Source organism: Homo sapiens, chromosome 8 (assembly GCF_000001405.40).
Source record: "Homo sapiens chromosome 8, GRCh38.p14 Primary Assembly".
Lineage (NCBI taxonomy): Eukaryota > Metazoa > Chordata > Mammalia > Primates > Hominidae > Homo > Homo sapiens.
This window is the reverse complement of record NC_000008.11, coordinates 35,765,073-35,786,262: the sequence shown is the minus strand read 5'-3', so window position 1 is coordinate 35,786,262 and position 21,190 is coordinate 35,765,073. Positions and strand designations below refer to the sequence as shown.

General features: G+C 39.9%; 1 protein-coding gene across 17 annotated transcripts in view, besides 1 other annotated feature; it reads right to left on the bottom strand.

Annotated features, from left to right (window-relative positions):
• Positions 1–21,190, bottom strand: part of UNC5D (unc-5 netrin receptor D) — a 561,066-nt gene that overhangs the window by 10,278 nt on the left and 529,598 nt on the right. For all 17 annotated transcript variants that reach the window (NM_001438417.1, NM_001438418.1, NM_080872.4 and 14 more), the window contains 2 exons: positions 19,197–19,361; positions 11,786–11,964 (listed from right to left, as the gene is read on the bottom strand). In NM_001438417.1, the coding sequence (NP_001425346.1) occupies positions 11,786–11,964; positions 19,197–19,361 (344 nt within the window). The remainder of the gene's footprint in view (positions 1–11,785; positions 11,965–19,196; positions 19,362–21,190) is intronic.
• Positions 2,283–2,928: an enhancer, noted in NCBI's record as "OCT4-NANOG hESC enhancer chr8:35640853-35641498 (GRCh37/hg19 assembly coordinates)". NCBI's record gives its function as "activates a minimal SCP1, AML or CMV promoter by ChIP-STARR-seq in naive H9 embryonic stem cells {active_cell/tissue: H9 hESC(naive)}" and the evidence as "EXISTENCE:reporter gene assay evidence [ECO:0000049][PMID:30033119]".

Here is a 21,190-nt window from a genome sequence, read left to right as displayed (position 1 = left end):
GCACAACATAAATCTCAAATTCCATTTAATTTTAATATATACATAGAAGAATATATTGGCCTTATTAAAAATAGTAGAATCAGCTTTGCAGTTAACAGACATCCTATTGTGAGAAAACATTTAAATGGCATTTTAAATGCCATTTTCAAGGCATTATAAATGTAAGTACTACAAATGTAACAAACCACACAGCTCATGCACCTAGAAGGTCGCAGTAAGTGAACAGAATGTAGAGGAGGGGTCAGCCAGTAACAGGGAAGAAAGTTTCATTATTGCGAAATCAAAACTTAAGCAGGGAAGATGAGAGGGTATAACCTTATAAGGGGGATAATAAAACTTAGGTGACGTCCAGGAAGATTGTTCCCATAGTACTTGGCCAATGAGGAACTGGAGGAGGGACTTGTGTACTAGGAGATAAATTACCTGCTGTAGCTGCCCTGGGTATGCCTGCCTACCAGACACCCGATCTTGCAAGACTGCTATTAAAAGTCTTACTTTCTCTGTTCTTTGTGCCTCTGAGTCTATTCTTTGGGTTTGGACGGGTGAGTGTGTTTCTCACACTATTAAACTACATTTATCTGTTTACAATAGAATAATATATAGGCTCGGCGTGGTGGCTTATGCCTGTAATCCCAGCACTTTGGGAGGCCGAGGTGGGCAGATCACCTGAGGTCAGGAGTCTGAGACCAGCCTGGCCAACATGGTGAAACCCCCATCTCTTCTAAAAATATAAAAATTAGCTAGGCATGGTGGCATGTGCCTGTACTCCCAGCTACTTGGGAGGCTGAAGCACAAGAATCGCTTGAACACAGGAGGCAGGGATTGCAGTGAGTCAAGATCACGCCACTGCACTCCAACCTGGGCGACAGAGCAAGACTTCATCTCAATATATATATATACCTAAAATCTCAATGCAATAGGTTACTTCTCAAAGATAGTTGAATTATTTTGCTGCTTACATGTGTGCAAATGCATTATGATTTTATGAAATTGGTTTGCCATGTATCCATCTCATCTCCTTGTGAAATTATTTGGATCCTAATCTACGTGACCCATTTCTCTTCATCATAATGCTGGTGCATTTGGGCACCGGCAGGTAAATGCACACACCATTCAGGGAACATTGTTAATACAGTACTACAAAACAGAATTCACAGCAATAGTTGATTTTAAGCAATTTCCTGAGTGTGTTTGATTTTTTTTTTTAATGGAACCAGAACATTAGCAAAAATAGTAATCCTGAATATTCAGACAGATGCCTGAAAATGAAACTATTTTTTTCTTTGACAAATTTTTAAGGAAGTGAATGCTTACTACCCTCATCTTAGATGCTTCAGATTGTTAACTTTTTTATGCATTGACTCCAGGGAACCTTTTGTTATAGCCTTTTCAAATTCTGATCAATGGAGGTAATTCTGAAAACTAAGATTTATTTTTTGCAGTGTCATTAAGATGTTATATAATATGCAGATGTAAACGAGCTACTCTCTATTTTTTATTAATTATTTTATTTTTGAGACAGAGTCTCATTCTGTCTCCCAGGCTGGAGTGCAGTAGTATGATCTCGGCTGACTGCAACCTCCACCTCCCAGGTTTCAGCAATTCTTATGCTTCAGCCTCCCGAGTAGCAGGGATTACAGGTGTGTGCCACCATGCCCAGCTAATTTTTGTACTTTTAGTAGATACAGGATTTCGCCATGTTGCACAGGCTGGTCTCGAACTCCTGGCCTCCAGTAATCAGCCGCCTTTGCCTCACAAAGTGCTGAGTTTACAAGTCTCAGCTGTCGTGCCTGGCCTAAACAATCTAATCTCTAAATTTTAGGAATTTACTTTAGCATTATTTTGTCTTCAATTCATTTCCCCAGCCCTATAGACTCAATAACTTTATCTTTTCCTTTGGAACTCTGAGTGAGCACAGATAAACTGTAAAATACAGGGACAAGCAGATTAAAGCTTAGGAGAAGACAGCCGAATACATTCATCTATGTAAGTTCATTGAGTACTAATGGTTTATTAAATTTAATTTTGTTTTCTTGAGCTTAAATGCTTTCTATACACCTGAGTTCCAGGGGATTTGTTTTATTACCATGATTAATTTTATCTTTCAGAGACTTCTCTATCACCATCCCTTGGCTTCAATTAAAAGCCCATGCATTATGTAGAAGCCAGGGCAGAACTGGAAACTTCTGAATCTTGACCTTACCAATTTCAGTTGGCCTATGCTAGACATAGGCCAACTTACAATGGTGTATATGAGTTAAAAAGCAAATTTTTTTATAGAATCTTAATTTTCAGAATACATCTTTAAACTAATAACCTTGTTAAAATAATAAAACTTTAGATTTGAGGATTTTTGGAAATAGTTATTGAGCCTTCTGTTTTCTTTTTTGGAGGTATAAAGGTGGGGTAGAGAATTGAGGAACCATGATAGAATTCTGCCTTATAGGTCTTTATAAATTATTGCAACACAGGGCTAATTTTATGAAAAGGAAAAGTGGCTAGAGATACCACCCTTTCTTTAGGACTGTGAAAGCTTTCAGATCTTCCCAAATCCCTGAGTATTCAAATGCAAATATTTTAGGGACTAGCACATCTAAATCCTCCATCAGTTAACAAAGAGATTAGATAACAGCAATGGAAAGGAAGGCACAGGGCTCAGGCTCTGTCTTAGCCCTGGGGAGGTACACTGAAGAGCTACCAAGGGCACCTTGCACTTCCAGCTGGAGTCCGCCCAGCTCAGCGTTCTGAGTCTGTAAGGGCCTCACTTTCATTCAAAATTCCAGATAACAAAGCTTTTATTTCAGTTACTCAGAACCATGGTACCAGGAGGACAGTCTACCTATTTGCAAGCTGTAAGCTCTTCCCGTGACTGCTTGTGAGAATAAATTTCATATAAAAATATACTAGGGGATTGCATTTGAGTTGCGGCCCCATATTCTTAGCAAAGAAGTCACTTCAACCCAGGTTCATGCAATAATTTCAGAATTTCGGCTTTTGCCCAACACTTTCAAATAGAAGGGAACACTTGTACCTGTGACGTGAGGGCAGCAAGTTTAACTGTTTAAAAAATGTTGCTACTTACATTACTTACATATGACTCTTTTTTTTTTTTCTTTCTCCAAGATAGGGTCTCACTCTGTCACCCAGGCTGGAGTGCAGTGGTGCGATCATAGCTCACTGCAGCTTTGACCTCTCAGGCTCAAGTGATCCTCCCATCTCAGCCGCTCAAGTAGCTAGGACCACAGGTGAGCATCACCATGCCCGGCTAATTTTTTTAAAAAATTATTTTTGGTAGATATGGGGTCTCACAATGTTGCCAGGGCTCACCTTGAGTTCCCTGAGATCAAGTGATTGTCCCATCTTGGCCTCTTAAAGTGCCAGGACTATAGATGTGAGCTACCATGCCTGGCCACTGTTTTTAATTTAGCTACTAAAAAGAGTATTTTTAAAAGATCTTCTGGGCCAGGTGCGGTGGCTCACGCTTGTAATCCCAGCACTTTGGGAGGCCGAGGAGGGTGGATCATGAGGTCAGGAGTTCAAGACTAGCCTGGCCAACATGGTGAAATCCCGTCTCTACTAAAAATACAAAGAATTAGTCAGCTGTGGTGGCAGGCGCCTGTAATCCCAGCTACTTGGGAGGCTGAGGCAGGAGAATTGCTTGAACCCAGGAGGTGGAGGTTGCAGTGAGCCTAGATGGTGCCATTGCACTCCAGCCTGGGTGACAGGGTGAGACTCCGTCTCAAAAAAAAAAAAAAAAAAATTTTTGAGTAGTTTGTCAGTACAAAAAGTAAAAACAAAGTTAAGCTGCCTATAATAAACTGGAAAACATCATTACAGTGTATAATCCTACTATATAGCACCAGATAGGGAATTGAAACATAGTCATAATGGAAAAATATTAATATCTCTGCTATCATTTTAATTGTCTAATTTAATGAAGGCCTCTTATGTGACCAAAACCAACCCTCCATATGCTTCTTTAAATGCAAATAGAAGAGAAAAGCCATTTATCCTCAAGAGCAGTAATTGAACACACCATAAGCATTTGACCCATTCATCAAGCTTTCATCCCCAAACTTGAATTTCACTGGGTAGTCAACAAACAGCAAAGCAGCCTACAGGATAAAGTAAGCCAGTGCTGCATTTTTAAAGACTAAGCAAGAGATGAGCACTATATAGTTCCTGCTGTCCCCCAGTATCTTCCAGTGAGAGGAAGCTGGCATGGAAAACCCGAAAGGGAAGGACATGGGCACCTGAAAACATGCTGAGTTCCAGTCTGCCTTGTTCTAAAAGTGGTGCATTAATTATTTCAGGCCAATTAATTTGGCAATAAAATTTCCCTCATCATTATCCTTTTACCTATTTCATTATCTGGTTCTTGGAAAAAAGCAAGAATTCTTTTTTTGGAAATGTATGAGAGCCCTGGATCCTTGAGGACTGTCTGTTGCCAAATGAGAACAAAGTCGGTTATAGTCCCTGTTTTCAATTCTCCAGTTTCATTCCTGACAGGATAAGCCTATGACAGTTTCTCAATTTGGGAAATGAAAAGACGATAAAACTTCACAAATAATTGAAAAGAAATAGTTAATCACTTGAAGGACACTAATAAATTAGATACAATCATTCCTAGGATTTTACAGTCTCAAATTATGTAAACATCCTTATTCAGATGTACTGACATTGTTAACTTTTTTCAGTACTATTTGAAACAGCACTTGTGAAGGGGACTATTTAGGCTATAAACGGGTTTTGGCATGCCTGTCTTTTCTGAAAACGTTAGTTTATAGGAAGGAAATCTATTCCTTCAAAACCTAGCACACACACACCCACTGCCTAGAAGAAATGCGACACCCCTTGTCAGCATCCCCTGGAGCCCACAGTGGGAGCATAACTTTAGTTCTCTTGGAGGAACATAAAAAGCTTATTTTCCATATTGCCTTTAGGATGGGCACCTGCCACTTACAAACCATATACAGCTTGTTCATGGCTAAACGTGTCCCAGAGCTGTCTATGTTCAGCTTCATATTAGCGGGCAGTTTCATGAATCACTGGCTTTGACAAAATGAAGCCCAAACCTCTACCACTTTGCTGTGTTGGGTCCCTCTGGCTTCACTGCAAGGGCTTTTTAAATTTTGGACCCTGTATAAATCCACACTGGACCAGAACCAAAAAAACCTGATATGGGCTTCATTGTATTTTTGACTACAAGGACCGATGTATAATACTATCTCCCTATCCAATCATTCTTCTTAGAAGAGTCATCTGGTTTCTAGAACCAGGTAATAAAACTTGACACGTAAATAAAAGGAAATAGTTAATCACTTAAAATATTCTCTCATAAATTAGATAAATCATTCCTAGGATTTTACTTTCTCAAATTATAAAAACATCCTTATTCAGATATAATGACATTGTCAGCTTTCTCAGTACTACTTAAAACAGGACACGAAGGCTGATTTTTTGGAAATGGCAGCCTCACACCCATTATTTGAAGGTTAGAATGTGTTTTCTAACTTGCAGAACCAAGAAAGCTTAGTTTAGTGTGATCATAGTAAATCCCCAAACACAAGAATGAAAATACCTAGAGCCCACAGTCACCAAGTAACCACACTTAGTGGTCTGCCTGTGAAGCTGGTGCTCTGTCTGCATCTTGTACTCATCATCTTCCCTCTTTTTTTTCCCCTCCCTTCTTCCTTCACTTTAAAGGAACATGGCTCTAGGACTCTCCTACCTCAAGTGATTTCGCAACAGTTATTCAGAAACAGATTGCTAAGCTGCCTTGGGGCCTTCCTCCATCCTTTTCCTCGGCCCTCTGGCCATCTCACTGTTCCTTTGCATCCAATTAATAGGATGGACAGAGGAAATGAAAAGATAGCACCTCAATGCGAGAAGATTCTGTTTCTCATTAAAGGCCCTGTTAAAAGATTTCATGGGAAACAAATTATAGCACAGCATGTCAGGCATGAGATATGAGGAATTTCACGTATACGGTTTTTACACCATAACCCATTAACTCTCAAATCTGAAGTGTGTTTGAAACATTTTAACTAGCAGACCAATAAGAAATATGTTTTCCCTGGCAAGTGCTTATACATGTTCAAACAAATATACTATTGAGGAGGGCACTGGGAAAAACTGTTAATAAGACATCATTTATCTGCTGCTTTCCATTTTGGAATCCTTTCTTCCATTGTGGCGGCCTCCCCTCTACTCATCTGCCCATATCTCATGGATCTCTTCCCATCTCATGAATCTGTTCCCATAGCAACTTGGTCAAGCTGGCTGTGTTTTCACAAGGGTTTCTGGAATATGAAAATTAGGAGGCATCACAGAAGAATGATCTAATAGAATTTCAGGTACTGTTAAGATCTGAGGGAAAAGACAGGAATCTTCCAAAATATCAGCCATGTAGCCTGTTTTAAGACTCATTTTCAAGATCCCCTGATGCTTGTTCATATCAATTCTATTTATTAAGAGGCAGGTTTTTAGGGTCAAGAACACTCTCCTGGCTAGGCATGGTGGCACACGCCTGTAATCTCAGCACTTTGGGAGGCCGAGGCAGGCGGATTACTTGAGGCCAGGAGTTTGAGACCAGCCTGGCCCACATGGTGAAACCCCATCTCTGCAAAAATACAAGTTAGCCAGGCATGGTGTTTCATGCTTGTAATCCCAGCTACTCTGGAGGCTGAGGCAGGAGAATCACTTGAACTCAGGAAGTGGAGGTTGCAGTAAGCCGAGATTGTGCCACTGCACTCCAGTGTGGGCAACAGAGAAAGACTCCATCGCAAAACAAACAAGCAAACAAAAAAGCCACTCTCCTGTGAAAGAGTTCATATCGTTCATTAGAGAAATATTTATTGAATAACCCCCAAGTAGATAGTCCTCTCTCAGTATGTTTAATTGTAATTTAAAAATAAAAAGTATCATAAAAAATACAAAGCACTATGGAAGTTTAGATATGGGGGAACACTTCTATGTAAAGCAGTTAGTTTCCAACATTTAATTTGTTAAGTCCTCTGCATTGCTCCCCACCACCTACCCGCTACATGACCAATTCGTTATTTCGCAGTTCTACCCAGCTACCAATCACAGGTGGCCAAGAGCATTGAAATGGAGTTATTACAGCTGAATTTTCAGAATAAATGTGCAATCTCAGCTTTGAAATGCAGCAAGTATGAACTCTGAGTAATAGTCAAAGTTTGCTCACAGAATCTATAACTACAACTGTTATCTATGACATTCTTTGCTAGGCTGTGTAGCTTATTTAGCGTGATCCATATGCCAGGCAAGCGGCAAGGCCACCTGTGTTGCCAGCCGTACAGCACACACTCCTGACATTTCTCGCATTCTCATCGACTGCTAAGCTTTTAACTTTACATTCCCTGTCTTTTCCTTCCTATTCAGATCTAAGTAGAAACTTGATTGGCAAAAAGGCATATTATCATCAGTGACATTTGCATTTACCAAAAGGAGAGTAAGAAAACATTTTCACTGGCAATAAAGTAAAAGCAAATGTTTTCTTCCACTTGTTTTGAAAGTTTTCCTTAATGATTTGAGGACAGTAGTTTTACTAGCTTTTAAACGCTTTTTGGAATTGAATGGAGGGGAAGAGTCAGGCGAAAGTGCAGTCACAAGATTAAGGTAGGTGAACTGCCTGAATAGAATGACTATGCACTCTGTGATCACCTTTTTGTGATCCCAGGGTTGATGAAATCCTCAGCCATGCATAGCTTTCTTACTCAATAATGTTGGCATAGAGACAATTTTAGATTTCTGTGTATTAAAACATTTACTATTAGTTCTAGACTACATTATTTGGACTCATAAGAGAGAAAAGACAATGGTTTGGGGCTTTTACAATGGGAAGTTGTGACAGATTACATCCAAAAAATCCCTGTTGTCTTCGGGACAGTACTAAAAACAGAAAGGGAACTTGACAATTTCTGCAAAATATAATTAGCTAAGAGAGTGCAAGGTGACTGTGAGTAGTTTTCTTCTATTCTTCTTCTCCAAGTATTTTGGTGGCCAGCTCTGCTGTAACCACACCAGCCTGAAGACAGAACTGAATGAGAAGGCCCTGTTAAAATATTTCATTTTACTTTCTAAAATTATAAAAACATCCTTATTCAGACATACCGACATTGTCAGCTTTTTCAGTACTACTTAAAACAGGACATGAAGGCTGATATTTTGGAAATGGCAGCCTCACACCCATTATTTGAAGGTTAGAATGTGTTTTCTAACCTGCAGAACAAAGACAGCTTAGTTTAGTGTGATCATAGTAAATCCCCAAACACAAGAATGAAAATACCTAGAGCCCGTGGTCACCAGGTAACCACACTTAGTGGTCTGCCTGTGAAGCTGGTTCTCTGCATCTTGTACTCATCTTCTTCCCTCTTTCTTTTCCTCCCTTCTTCCTTCACTTTAAGATAGAGCCAATAACATCCTATGGAAGTTTTACTAAATCAAGGCAAATTCACTTAAATCAGGGGTCAGCAAACTGCAGACTATAATCCAAATAGGGGTCGTTGTCTATTTTTGTGAATATAGCATACTGGCACACAGTCATATCTATTTGTTTACAGACTCTCTCTGGCTGCTTTCCTGTTACAGCATCAGAGTTGAATGTTGCCGAGTAGTTGTGACAGATCCCATATGGCCTAAACTCTTTCCTGTCTGGTCCTTTACAGAAAAAATAAGTTTGCTGGCTCTTAGTTTAAATCATTTTCACTCCATGATTTCACTATTTTTTGAGAGTAAAGCTAGAGATTAAAGAGAAAGGTAGGGAATGACACTCAGTGAAATTGATATGTTAACTGTATGAGGTTTTTCATTTATTTAGTATTATTGTTTTGAATCAGGGTCTTGCTCTGTCACCTAGGCTGGAGTGCAGTGGCACAATCATAGCTCACTGCAGCCTCAAACTCCTGGGCTCAAGCAATCCTCCTGCCTCAGCCTTCCAAATAGCTGGGGCAAGAGGCATACACCACCATGCCTGGCTAATTTGTTGAGACAGAGTCTCGCTCTGTTGCCCAGGCTGGAGCGCAGTGATGCGATCTCGGCTCACTGCAACCTCTGCCTCCTGGGTTCAAGCAATTCTCCTGCCTCAGCCTCCAGAGTAGATGGGATTACAGGTGCCTGCCACCATGCCCAGCTAATTTTTGTATTTTTAGTAGAGACAGGGTTTCACCATGTTGGTCAGGCTGGTCTCGAACTCCTGACCTCGTGATCCGCCCACCTTGGCCTCCCAAAGTGCTGGGATTACAGGCATGAGCCACCGCACCCGGCTAATTTGTTAATTCTTTGTAGATACAGGGTTCTCCCTAAGTGCAGGCCGGTCTTGAACTTGTGGCCTCGAACTTGTGGCCTCAAGTGACACTTCCACCTTGGCCTCCTACAGTGCTTGGATTACAGATGTGAGCCGGGCTATATAAGATTTAAGGATAGAAGTAGATTCCATATATTTGTGCTATTGTGATTTGCCATGGATTGTGAAAATGTCAAGGGGGAAAACTAGCATTTATTAAGAATCTACATATTCTGGGTTCTCTGTTAGAAATTTTCTATGAAATAGGTTATATGAATTATGTCAAAAAAATTTTCCTGGAGATGGGATCTTAAAGAAAAACAAAAACAAGTAAACCATCAGCCACATGAGCACTCAGGTTTTATGGCCCCAGACACAGAAGGGGGCAGTTGGCTCCAGGGTAGCCACTGACTGCTCATTAGTGCTCAGATACAAAAGGTTGTTAAACTTAAGTCTCCCAGTTTGAAATGCATTTTCCCTACCGTGCAAGGTCAGAAACTGATGACTTTGGAGGTACTCCCTGTAGTTCTCTTATGTGTACTATAAATGGAGAATAAAATGTAATAAGGTAGGAACATGTACATGCTTATTCAGCAAATTAATTACAGCATCTATGGGCACACAGGTATTTTGTGACAATTATTTTTTTCTAAATGGTGACTTAAAAAATCATAAACTTTTATAGCCAGCATGAATTAGACTTAATATAGTTTAGATTCAATTGCATTTCTAGAAAAAGAAACACAGGGATAGTAAGTGACTCATTTAGGCAGACTGGTATTGGTAGCAGAACCAAGGCTCTCATGCAGATCTTCTGAGTCCCTGTTCACTGTTCTTTTTTAACCGTGTTATATTTTCTGGGTTCATTTTTCATTTTTGGATCCATGTTGATCAGAAAGGGAAATTGACACAGTCATGGTGTTCACTGATCATAGACAAGACATCTCATCTTTTGTCAGAGTTGCTGGGAAATATTCAATCTAATTTTTTTCCCCTGTACACTCATACATTTTTGTTTCTTTCATTTTCAATATATGCCTTTTCAAACATATGTCTATTCTTTTCGGGCTTGCCTGTCTCTGTAAATTCAGTTTTCTCTTGCAGCAATGCCTCCGTCTTGACTTTCCTCTCTGAGCCTGACTGATTTCTAGTTGAGCCCTTCGTTCTTGGCTTCTGGATCCCTTTTGCAACTGAGAGCAGCACTCCATCCCTTCTTGGCAGACATCTACCCTCCCTTTCAGAGAAGAAAGAGTCAGGTAGGATGTCTGTGAAAATAAAGAACAAAAAATGAAAATGACAGAGCAAGCCAAACAGTAAGAAAATAAGGTTTTGCCTGAAAGAAAAAAAAAAATAGTACCAAAGGAAAGAGAAATAAAATGGTTCTGGCAAAATATATTCTCTTTTCTATTCATTCTGGGGGCATGCAGAGGGCTTACAGGGAGAGGAGATGTCATTTTTCAGGGCAGGGATGCTGTGTATCCCTCAAGCTGAGCCCAAACCTGCCTGGCCATCAGTGTTGCCCTGAAGAGCATCACCCCTGCCTGTCTTACCTAAAGTAATAAAGTCCATTATGGATCTCTCTATTCTACTCTCAACTACAAATGTTAGTGCAGTAATGAGCAGTGTCAGTTTTAGCAGCATGTTCATTCACAGTTCCTAGGCAAGCTTTTGCTTATTTCACATCCTCTGGTTTCAGACCCAAAAGTTATCTTCAAACTTCTTTTTTTCCTATTCAGGCAATCAATTTTGTAGGTTGAGCATGTCCTCATTAAGGGTTAAAGAATGCTTAGGGTTACCCGATAGTAGAGGGGAGACGTGAGAAATTTGCTTGTTTCTGCATCACTGGCTTAAGAAAGTGCTCTGTTCACTCACAGTCTCCAAGATAACATAGTCTAATCGCCCATTTGGGTGACCCAATTAGCAAACCTAGAGATGGTACCAGAACCAAAGTAGGGATTTTCTATAATGTTGCAAAAGGCAGAATGGGGTAGCAGGAAATGTCACACAGAGTGTCTTTTTTTTTTTTTTTGGAGGAGGGTCTTACTCTGTTGCCCATGCTGGAGTGCAGTGGTGCAATCTTGGCTCACTGCAGCCTTGACCTGCCAGGCTCAAGTGATCTTCTCACATCAGCCTCCCAGGCAGCTGGGATTACAGGCGTGCACCACCATGCCCAGCTAATTATTTTTTGTGGAGATGGGGTCTCACCATGTTGCCCAGGCTGGTCTCAAACTTCTAGGCTCAAGCCATTTGCCTGCCTCGGCCTCCCAAAGTGCTGGGATTTCAGGCGTGAGCCACCACGCTTGGCCTACTGTTATTTTCTTGCTCTTTCCCCACTTACTTAGTGGGAACACACAGGAAATATGGCCAGAGGAACTCATAAAAATATTAGGGCTCAGAAACTACATGGTTTCACTTAGCCCACTTTATGTTTCCAAGTTCTCTTAGTAACATCGTCTTCCAGAAGCTGTCCCCAATTACCTGTTGATGCTGTTTTTCTGTGCTAACATCTGCCAGTCCTTGCCTTTGGCATTGGGGGTATCAAATGTAGCACAAATCCGCTGTCTGATGGAGTAGGGAATTTTGAAGGCTTTGGGGCCAGTCTGTGCAGGGAAAGTGCTGTCCTCTTGTGCGAAGAAAGTGATGGTTTCTCGTTCACTCTATAAACAAAATAAGGAACGCATGATCAGATCTATCTGAAAGCAGTCCTGACCAACACTTTCATTTTTTAAGAAAATCTGGGTTAACACACATGCACAAAATGCTTGCCTGTTGTGATGGACTCTATAAAATACATTGATAAGTTCCCCTTTCTTCTAAGATAGTAAAGAACTTCTCTAGTAGCCTAATAAATTGTGTACTGGAAATTTACAACAGCCTCTTCCACTCAGGGGCGTCACAATGACTAGCTTCCAGCATTAAAAGAGCTGTCAGAGGCTGGGCACAGTGGCTCATGCTTGTAATCCCAGCACTTTGGAAGGCTGAGGCAGGTGGATCACCTGAGGTCAGGAGTTCAAGACCAGCCTCGCCAACAGGGTGAAACCCCATCTCTACTAAAAATATAAAGAATTAGCTGGGCATAGTGGCAGGTGCCTGTAATCACAGCTACTGGGGAGGCTGAGGCAGGAGAATCACTTGAACCTGGGAGGTGGAAGTTGCAGTAAGTTGAGATCCCGCCATTGCACTCTAGCCTGGGCAACAAGAGCCAAACTTCGCCTCAAACAAAAAACAAAACAAAATAACAAACTGTCAGGTGAGAGCAGAATTAGACTCTTTTTCTGTTTGTTTTTGCTCTCAGGCATAGCTCTAGAATCAGCAGGAAGAAGCTACCAAATGACAGATTTCAGTTCAGAGTGAGGAATGACCCTCTGATAGTCATAACTAATGGTGAATGGGCTGATCAAAGGAGCTGCCTAGGAAATGCCTTGTAGGAAATCTACAAGGGTATAATTGTATGTTGATTACCTTTAATTTTATTTTCTTCCCAAGTCCTAAAGTTGTGTGATTTTATAATAAGTATCTTTATTTCAAAATTAAATAAAATTGTTTCAGAATTAAATTGCTTTGGTATAACAGAGCCAGCCTTGAGTCAGAGTAACATATAGACCAGCCTGTATAGTGGTATAATCAGGAAGGCTCCTGCCTGCCTACCTGCTTCTGGTTTAAAGCTGTCCAATAAGAATTTGTCATTTCAATATTAATCCTTATATCCAACATGAAATCACACAGAAATGTGCCAGGCTGCAGTGGTTGCTAAGAAGTTTAGGTGGACTAACAGAATTTTAAGGACTGAAAAATATCCAATTGAATCACTTCCATGATTATAAGACAAAAGGGACTCTGCTGATGTAATTAATGTCCCTAATCAATTGACTGACTCAATTAAGAGATTTTTTCTGGGTGGGCCTGACCTAATCAGGTGGTCCTCAAATGAGAAGAGATAGGTCTTTTCTGGAGGTACCTTTTCTCCTTGTCTAGAGGAAAGCAAACAGCCAGTCTATGAGCTTCCTATAGAGGGGGTCATGTATCTGGGACCTGAGGGTGGCTTCTGGGAGCTGAGTGACCTCTGGCCAACAGCCAGCAAGAAAATGGGGACCTTAGTCCTAAAGCAATAAGGAACCAAATGGTGCCAACAACCTGTATAAAAAAAAAAAAAAGGACTCTGAGCTCCAGATGAGAACATGCCCTGGCCAACACTTTGGTTTCAGTCTTATGACATAATAAATCAATGTCATTTTATGCTTCTAAATTAGTGGTAGTTTGTTATGTAGCAAAAGAAAACTAATCCAAGGGGTAAGTAAAGCATCAGATCTGGGATTGAGTTAAGGGACTAGTTAGAACGTTTAAACTCCAAGAAGCTGTCCTTTGTCTTAGAAACTTGCCTGTTATGCCCTCCAAGTACACACATGCCCTTCCTTCCCTCCCTGAAATCCTGCCCTGATGCCTCTTCCAATTGTTAAATGTCTTCCTAATGTGGGCACCACAACCATGACGGCCTTTTTCAGCTAGCAGCCGGGCTCACATAAGTATAAACTATCAGGCTTGGTAGGTTGAAAATAGAGTTCTTAAATCTGTTAATTGAGAAAACTGATTGATACAGAAATTTCATTAATGATTGATAATGATTTTTGTCTCTCTGTAACTATTTAACACAGTTGCATTTTGAGGGCTCTGTTTTTGGAAACACAATGCATTAATCCACCAGTTCCAAAAGGATATCTCAGAAGAGATTCCAAGAAATGGCAGTTTCATGGTCACGCACATGTGAGAAATGCTGCATATCATACGCTCTTCTTAGAACCTCAAAGTACATGTTATTATATTAAACAGATTGTACTTACTGGTTTTAGTTATGTTCCTGGAATATTATAAAACAATATTCATCAAAACTATTCCAGTATTTATATAACAGAAAAGAGCATGGTTTTTAGAAGCAGAAAGACCTCACTTTGGAGTAAATCTCAACACTTTCTAGTTCAGTGACCTTGGATGCTACCTTATCTATCTCAGCCCCAACTTCCTAATCAGTTATTTTGCATTTGTATAGACTCCACAGAAGTTATGAAACCCGGAAAAATTCACCCAGGTAGTTTGTGACAGAGGTGAAACTAGAATTCTGACATCCTAACAACTATACCAGTACTTATTTCACTATAGCACCCTGTTTCAAGACAAGTGCCAAGAAATCTACAGTGCTGGGTGGTTAAGGAAAACGTTCTCTGAGTACAGTAGGAAAGACTTCATGGAGGAGGCATTTGAGTTGGCCTGAAAGATAGGTAGGCATTGACCGAGTAGAAATTAGGTGGATAGGTGGTTATTCCAGGCACAGTGGACAATTCTGTTCTGATATATTGAATGGTTATAAAATGAACCTACTCAGCTTCTTCCTGCTTAAACTAGGTTACAAGATACATCATTTTTATCATGGTTTGTAAAATTTCTTCTAGTCTCTAAAAATGCAAATCAAGTAGGAATAGTATCCTTGCATATTTTCTGACTTAAGACTATGATAGAAACTAGAAGCAGAATTTTTTTTTGATTCTATACAAGTTAACATGGTAGCTGCCATTGTCAATGCCAAAGACGTGGCTTATCAATGAAACTGAAAACATTGGAAGTGTCCATGCTAAAGGATCCCAAGGGAAAGAATTGGCCTCTGAAAGCCCTCATGGCACCTGTAAATTGTTGACCGAGCTCTCTCTTCACTGTGGGCAGAAGAAAAACCACCTTGATGCATGATATCTTCAGAGAAAACTGAACAAGTTGATCTTATTTGAAGGTGAATAAAGTATTATATGAGATTGAGTCTAAAAATAAGTAATTTTTCAATTTACTACACATTAATAAGTGGGTCCCTATTTCCCTCTTAAAGTTTTCAAATTTAAATATTTTCCAGGCATAAGGATGACACTTTATGTAACATTTATGATGCACTCTAAAAGACATCTGGGCCAAGTAATAAGAATCCTGTAGATACATCACATTTTCTGATTGTTTAAATTAAATATGCAGAGGAACAGTAGATCTTCATGCTCTGCACATCTGAGATAAGCAGCTGCTACCTGGTAAGCTAAGGGAGTTGTAAATCAATGAGAAATTCCAACTATTCTGTCTGTTGTAACAGACAAATTATCCCCCAACTTCCAACACTTTTGGAAGAAAGATAAGAGAACTGCTTGAAGGGAAAATTGTAACATGCAAGATTCCTTCAAGTTGTTTATATTGAAGAAAAGATTCTTTAATAATGTTACATTAATAAGGAATGATGAAATAAATTACTTGGGAATTCTTCCTTTCTCTTCAATATTTGCAAAATTGTTTTATTCCAGTCTGCAATTTTAGACTGTTGATACTGTTGCTTTATAGAATATTGGTTGGCAGTAATCATTAGGTAATTCAATAGGGTTAAATTTAAGGGGAACAACTTTCTTCCAAAGACTGATACAATAATGACCACACTAAAGAGTAAAACAGATATATTATCTTGGTCAGAAAAATAACTTTTAAGTGTGAAGGTGATATGAAGGACTGGGTTTGTTTGAAAAATCACTTAGATCAGAGGCATGAAGGGATATGTCAGGGATGAGGCTGAACATGAAGGATCAAATGCCTTCAATGAGGATGATTATTGCATTGACTTAAAGATTTAAAGCAGTATTTGAGATAGATATCTTATTAATATTTAAAAATCAATATTTAAAGTATTTTATACATCTTAAATCTTGATCCTATATAAAATGTTAATTATATAAATATATCTTACTAATGTATTAAACCACCTAAATGTCTTTTCCTGCCTAGGGGACATGAAGTATGATGTGCTTTAAAAATTGATCTATTATTCCTAACTCACCAATAGAGACCTGGGTCTAGAATGTATCCTGCACCTCCCCAGGTCATCCCAATTTCTCAGCACTTTTTGCGTCTTCACTTTTGCTGGAACCATTTACCAAAAAATTAAGTCATTTTAGGGAAAAGAGGACAGTTTTCTTTTCTTTTTGAGACAGAGTCTCTGTCACCCAGGCTGGAGTGCAGTGGTGTGATCTCATCTCACTGCAACCTCTGCCTTCTGGGTTCAAGCAATTCTCCTGTTTCAGCCTCCCGAGTAGCTGGGACTACAGGCACCCGCCAACACTCCCGGCTAATTTTTTGTATTTTTAGTAGAGACGGGGTTTCATGTGTTAGCCAGGATGGTCTTGATCTCCTGACCTTGTGATCCGCCTACCTCGCCCTCCCAAAGTGCTGGGATTACAGGCATCAGCCACCGCACCCAGCCAAGAGGACAGTTTTTATGCATTATATGTATCACCAGATGTGTGTCTTTCCTGTGAGTCAGACAATCCCAGGATTAAATGGGTTTGAGCAATCATTCAACCAAGACATCCATTTGTAGGCAGAGCTACATGTAGGATCTCTATTATAGAATGAACAATTCTAGTCCATCACACAAATGGTTACATCCCATCCTTTGTTCTTTTGAAGAAAGAACTTCCCAGTTTTCATATACTTTCAGGTACTGGAAGACAAAATTTCTGGTGCTGTGATGTTTGTCACTAGTACCTGAGTCCCTGAAGAGAAGCCATACTGTGAAGAAGGCCCACAGTTAAGGCTAATCCATTAGATGGCCTTGACTGGGGTCCAGAAGTAGTGTAGTGGAGTAGTCAGACTTTGATCTTCAAGTCAGGTCTCTGAGTTGGGTACTGTGGCTCTACTCCCTTATGAGTTCCATGATCTTTGATCTTGGACAAGAAAGTTCATGCCTTTGAGACTTTTATAGCATGTAAAATTGTGATAGCACTAATACTTAACCCACAGAGTTTTGATGGCTTTATGACAAATACGAAAGCAAATGAAATGATATCTGAAATATAGTGGCTTACAAAAGTTATTAGTCATCTTCTGACACAGAAAATGAGAGCAAATTAGACTTGTCTAAAAAATACAGTTTATACAAAATGAAGATGACAACCTGGGCCAAATTCTGTAGCTATGCTTGAAGCAATTAATAAAGTGATCCTTGAAAGGATCAAAGGGTTAATAAAGCCTCTAAAATGCAGCAGCCCTCAAATTGGATGACTATAGCCTAACAATAAATATTGAAATATTATTCTCATACTTGCCTCTCATTATCAAGAGATATTATGATGTTATCTTCTGCAAGGCATTTCTAAGTGACTGTAAACTTGTGAAGCATTAGAAAAGAAACTGGGGAGTAAACAATAAGGTTGTGTTTATTAGCTAATTTTCCTTTCAAGTGCTTTAAGAATTTATTAAGCAAGGAGCAAAAATACCTATCACATTCCTCTTACATAAATGTCCTGTAATAGCACAAGTTGATCACTAATATCTGGATGCCTTTACAAACAATAACCTTTAAACCCGAACTCATTGGCCTGTTAACGGACATCTAGGGCAATTTGGATGAGAGGGATCTTTTATGTTATGCCTTTTCATGCTTCCTTCTGAATACCAGCTCTTCTTGGATTTTTTGTTTTTATTTTTAAAGCCTTCCTACAATTTTTATTTTACTTTGGAATGTATCGTGTGAAATATACCAACACTGTTCAAGAAAGAGCCCCTAAAAATATCCTACCCCAGGTTTCCAGATCTACCTTCTCCGTCAAAACTACTTGAGCACATAATGCTAATTGGCAATAATGAACGCAAATACTGCATAAACATGTCAGTTAAGACAGCTATGAATTTTAAGGCACAATCCTTTGGAAAGCCATCCGCTCTTCAGAAAAACTATTTGGGGAATTAGCAATGCTCATTTTGCATAAACAATGAATTCAAATGAGAATAGAGAGAAGGAATAATGCTATACAGCTATAAATTATCCAGGAAAAAACCTTGAAATTGAATTGTAGGTATATAAATGTGTTCAATCTTCTGCCAAGCCTAAATTTATAAATATATATTTATATATTAATAAATGCATATATGTATATATATATTTATTTTATAAGTGAAAAACAAAAAATGTATGTTTCCCTACACTAGCCTGTAATGACCTGGAAACTGACAAACAAAAGCATCACAATCCCTCTTCTAATCTCTCCCTCTATCCCATTCAGGAAGGATGGCTATTGTCTACTTTATAAGCTTATGTTCAAAGCCATAAAGTCACTTGGTGGTTTAGGACAAATTGGAGCCATGATGGAAATCAGATGTCTTTTTGCAAAAGTTCTCCAGTGAATCCTCCCTTGACTGCTACTTGTAACTCTACCTTCCAATACTGATTTGACCTGGACAAAGTCCTTTCTCTCTTTGCACTTCTATTTCCTTACCTTATAGAATGAGATCCTTCTTATATTATTGTACTGTCCTGTCCTCCTTATATTATTGTATTGGAAGGGAGTAATGAAAATGTGGATGTACAGAATTCTGAGCCTGGGGAGTATGAGAAACAGTAAGACAGGGAGTCCCATCCCTGGAGATAAAATAGCACATATAGGGCAACTGACTTCTGGAAACTAGTCAGAACCAGCAGAAAAACAGTCTGAGGGTGGCTTTGTGCCTCTTTGTGGCATGTGTCTCAACTGTACCATCTGGCTTCAGTCTATAATGAATCTCAGCTGGTAATCCAAGCCTGCTGTGGAATAAGACTTCTTGTGATTTTGTGTATCAAAAGCCTGGTACCAGTTCCTTCCCCAGAGGTGCCTTCACAGTCTAAGCTCTCTGATGGGTTGAGTTTCCTTGCCCAGGGGGAAGTTTAGTTCAATCCTCGGCATGCGACAAAGCTTATTTTCCCTCATCAGTAATGAAGATGAAGAGTTTGTGCATTTTGAAGCTCTTTCAGAACCTGAATAGCACGGCTGGTAGGTATAGCTTTATTATTCTTATCGTCCTTCAGAAAGGGGGTCAAATGACCTGTAGATCAAGGACTCACCTCTAGGATTGATGTCTGCACTTGGAGGATCTGTTCATGGCCTTTGAGCTGCCGAATGCAGATTTTGCAGGACAGCTGGGTGGTAGTGGGCGTATAACGCTCCAGGGAGAAGGCACAGTGCAGGGGCTGCCGGTTACTGCACCACACGCGGGAGAACGGGACTTCCTGCAGGGGAGACGGAGAGAAGGGATGGTGTGCAGAGCCTGGCTGAGATGAACTAGAACAGGAGAGACTTAATAGTGATGATGATGATGATGATGACGACAACAACAACGATGAGGACAATCACAGCAGAGATAATTGCCTAGGCAGCTTTAGTGGAATTGTTGTAAAAATAATGTTCCAGCAAATGCCAAGCAGCACAAATGTAATTAATGTCAATTCCAACTGATAACATTTGAATTCCAAAACCGCACTGCAAGAGCTCAGATTTCACTTGGTGACACACAATTAGAAAGAATACCATCAAAAATTATCATTTTCATTCCCCAGTTAGAAAATATTTTCCTTTGGAAGACTCCTGTGGGCCATGCTTCTACTTCGGTCTGGGGTAGGATGTTATCTTTTCACTTATGTAAAAATTATGCTAAGGAACTGATTGGCCAGAACTTAACTCCACACCACAAACTCATGCAGAATTGTGAGAATACAATATTGCTAATGTATCCAACATAAAAATTAATACCCAGTGCAAAATCACACACATATACACACAGCCAGGGAGAGAAAGAGGGAGGAAGGAGGGAAGAGAGACAGACAGACACATACAGGGCCACCCCAGAGTGATCTAGTTTGTCAGTTCTTCATTTGCTCAATTTGTCCATTCAACTATAATGTATAAAGTGCCTGCTAATTACCACACACTGTACTAGGTAAACAATAAGAAACAAGAACAGATTCAGTCCCCTACTCTCAGGGGACATATGGACAACTGAGAGGCAAAAATACCTTTTAGTAAATGAGGAGGGAAATGATAAAATCTATAGATTACTCATTTTTCCTAGTATTAGCCAGTGCTTGCTACCAGACTGTGACTAATATGAAGTAGAAGTTAGTCACCGAAATTTTTTTGTGTACTAAAAAGCCTCTCTCCTTTCTACTCAAATGTGGCTTGGCCCTTGGCAATGACCACATATGCCTCTGGTAATCCTCACGCTCACTTTTTTCTCTATTTCTCACCTTATTAGTTTGCTCCTTTACCTATTGCTAAAAATAAAATTTTCTGCAATACTAGAACTGAAAGGTGGCAAGACATATATCAAGTCTGGAAGTTTGGAACCCTGAACTATGACTGGTGATGAAGCCAGCATGGGTCATGAGACTAAAAGAGCACGATTGAAATGACCGGTTCCCTTTGAGAAGCTATGAGTTACCTAGTTATTCCCGAGCCCTTATGTGCACACTTGTTTGGATACCTTGCTTCCTAATTTTCTCTATAGAAAGCCTCACAGATTTTTATTTTGGATACTTTCTGGTGGACTCAGGAAGGAGGGATGGATGGACTTTAGATTGTTGTGAACTTGAAGAGAGGAAAGCCAGCTTTAAGGGAGTATGAAATAATAAAATCAAATATTCTACCATGCATCTTAGCAATAAGCTGTGGGTCGTTTTGTTTGTTATTAATCCTGAACCAAAAGAAAAGTGGCATTTCAAGAAGGATGTAGAGAAGGTCTATAGGCAGGAAACCATCTGGCATTTCACGGACTTCATTCCTGTGCAAGAAGTGGGCTGTTAGTATGGAACTCTATCTTTGCCATTCTCTGTTCTTCCCCATGCGGAAGGGGCTGGAAGCCTAAAAACTACATTTTATAGACTCCCCTGCTGGCAGGAGTTCACATTCCCATTCTGACCACAAGAGGCACTCATGTTAGATTTGGAAGGGAGAGGAAACGCAGAAGCCATCACTGCCCCCCTAAGATCAGCAGGCAGACCCAAAGGCTTCAACTGACAGCCCAAGAAAGGTGTGCAGGGGCTTCTGGACATTCACCGGAGAA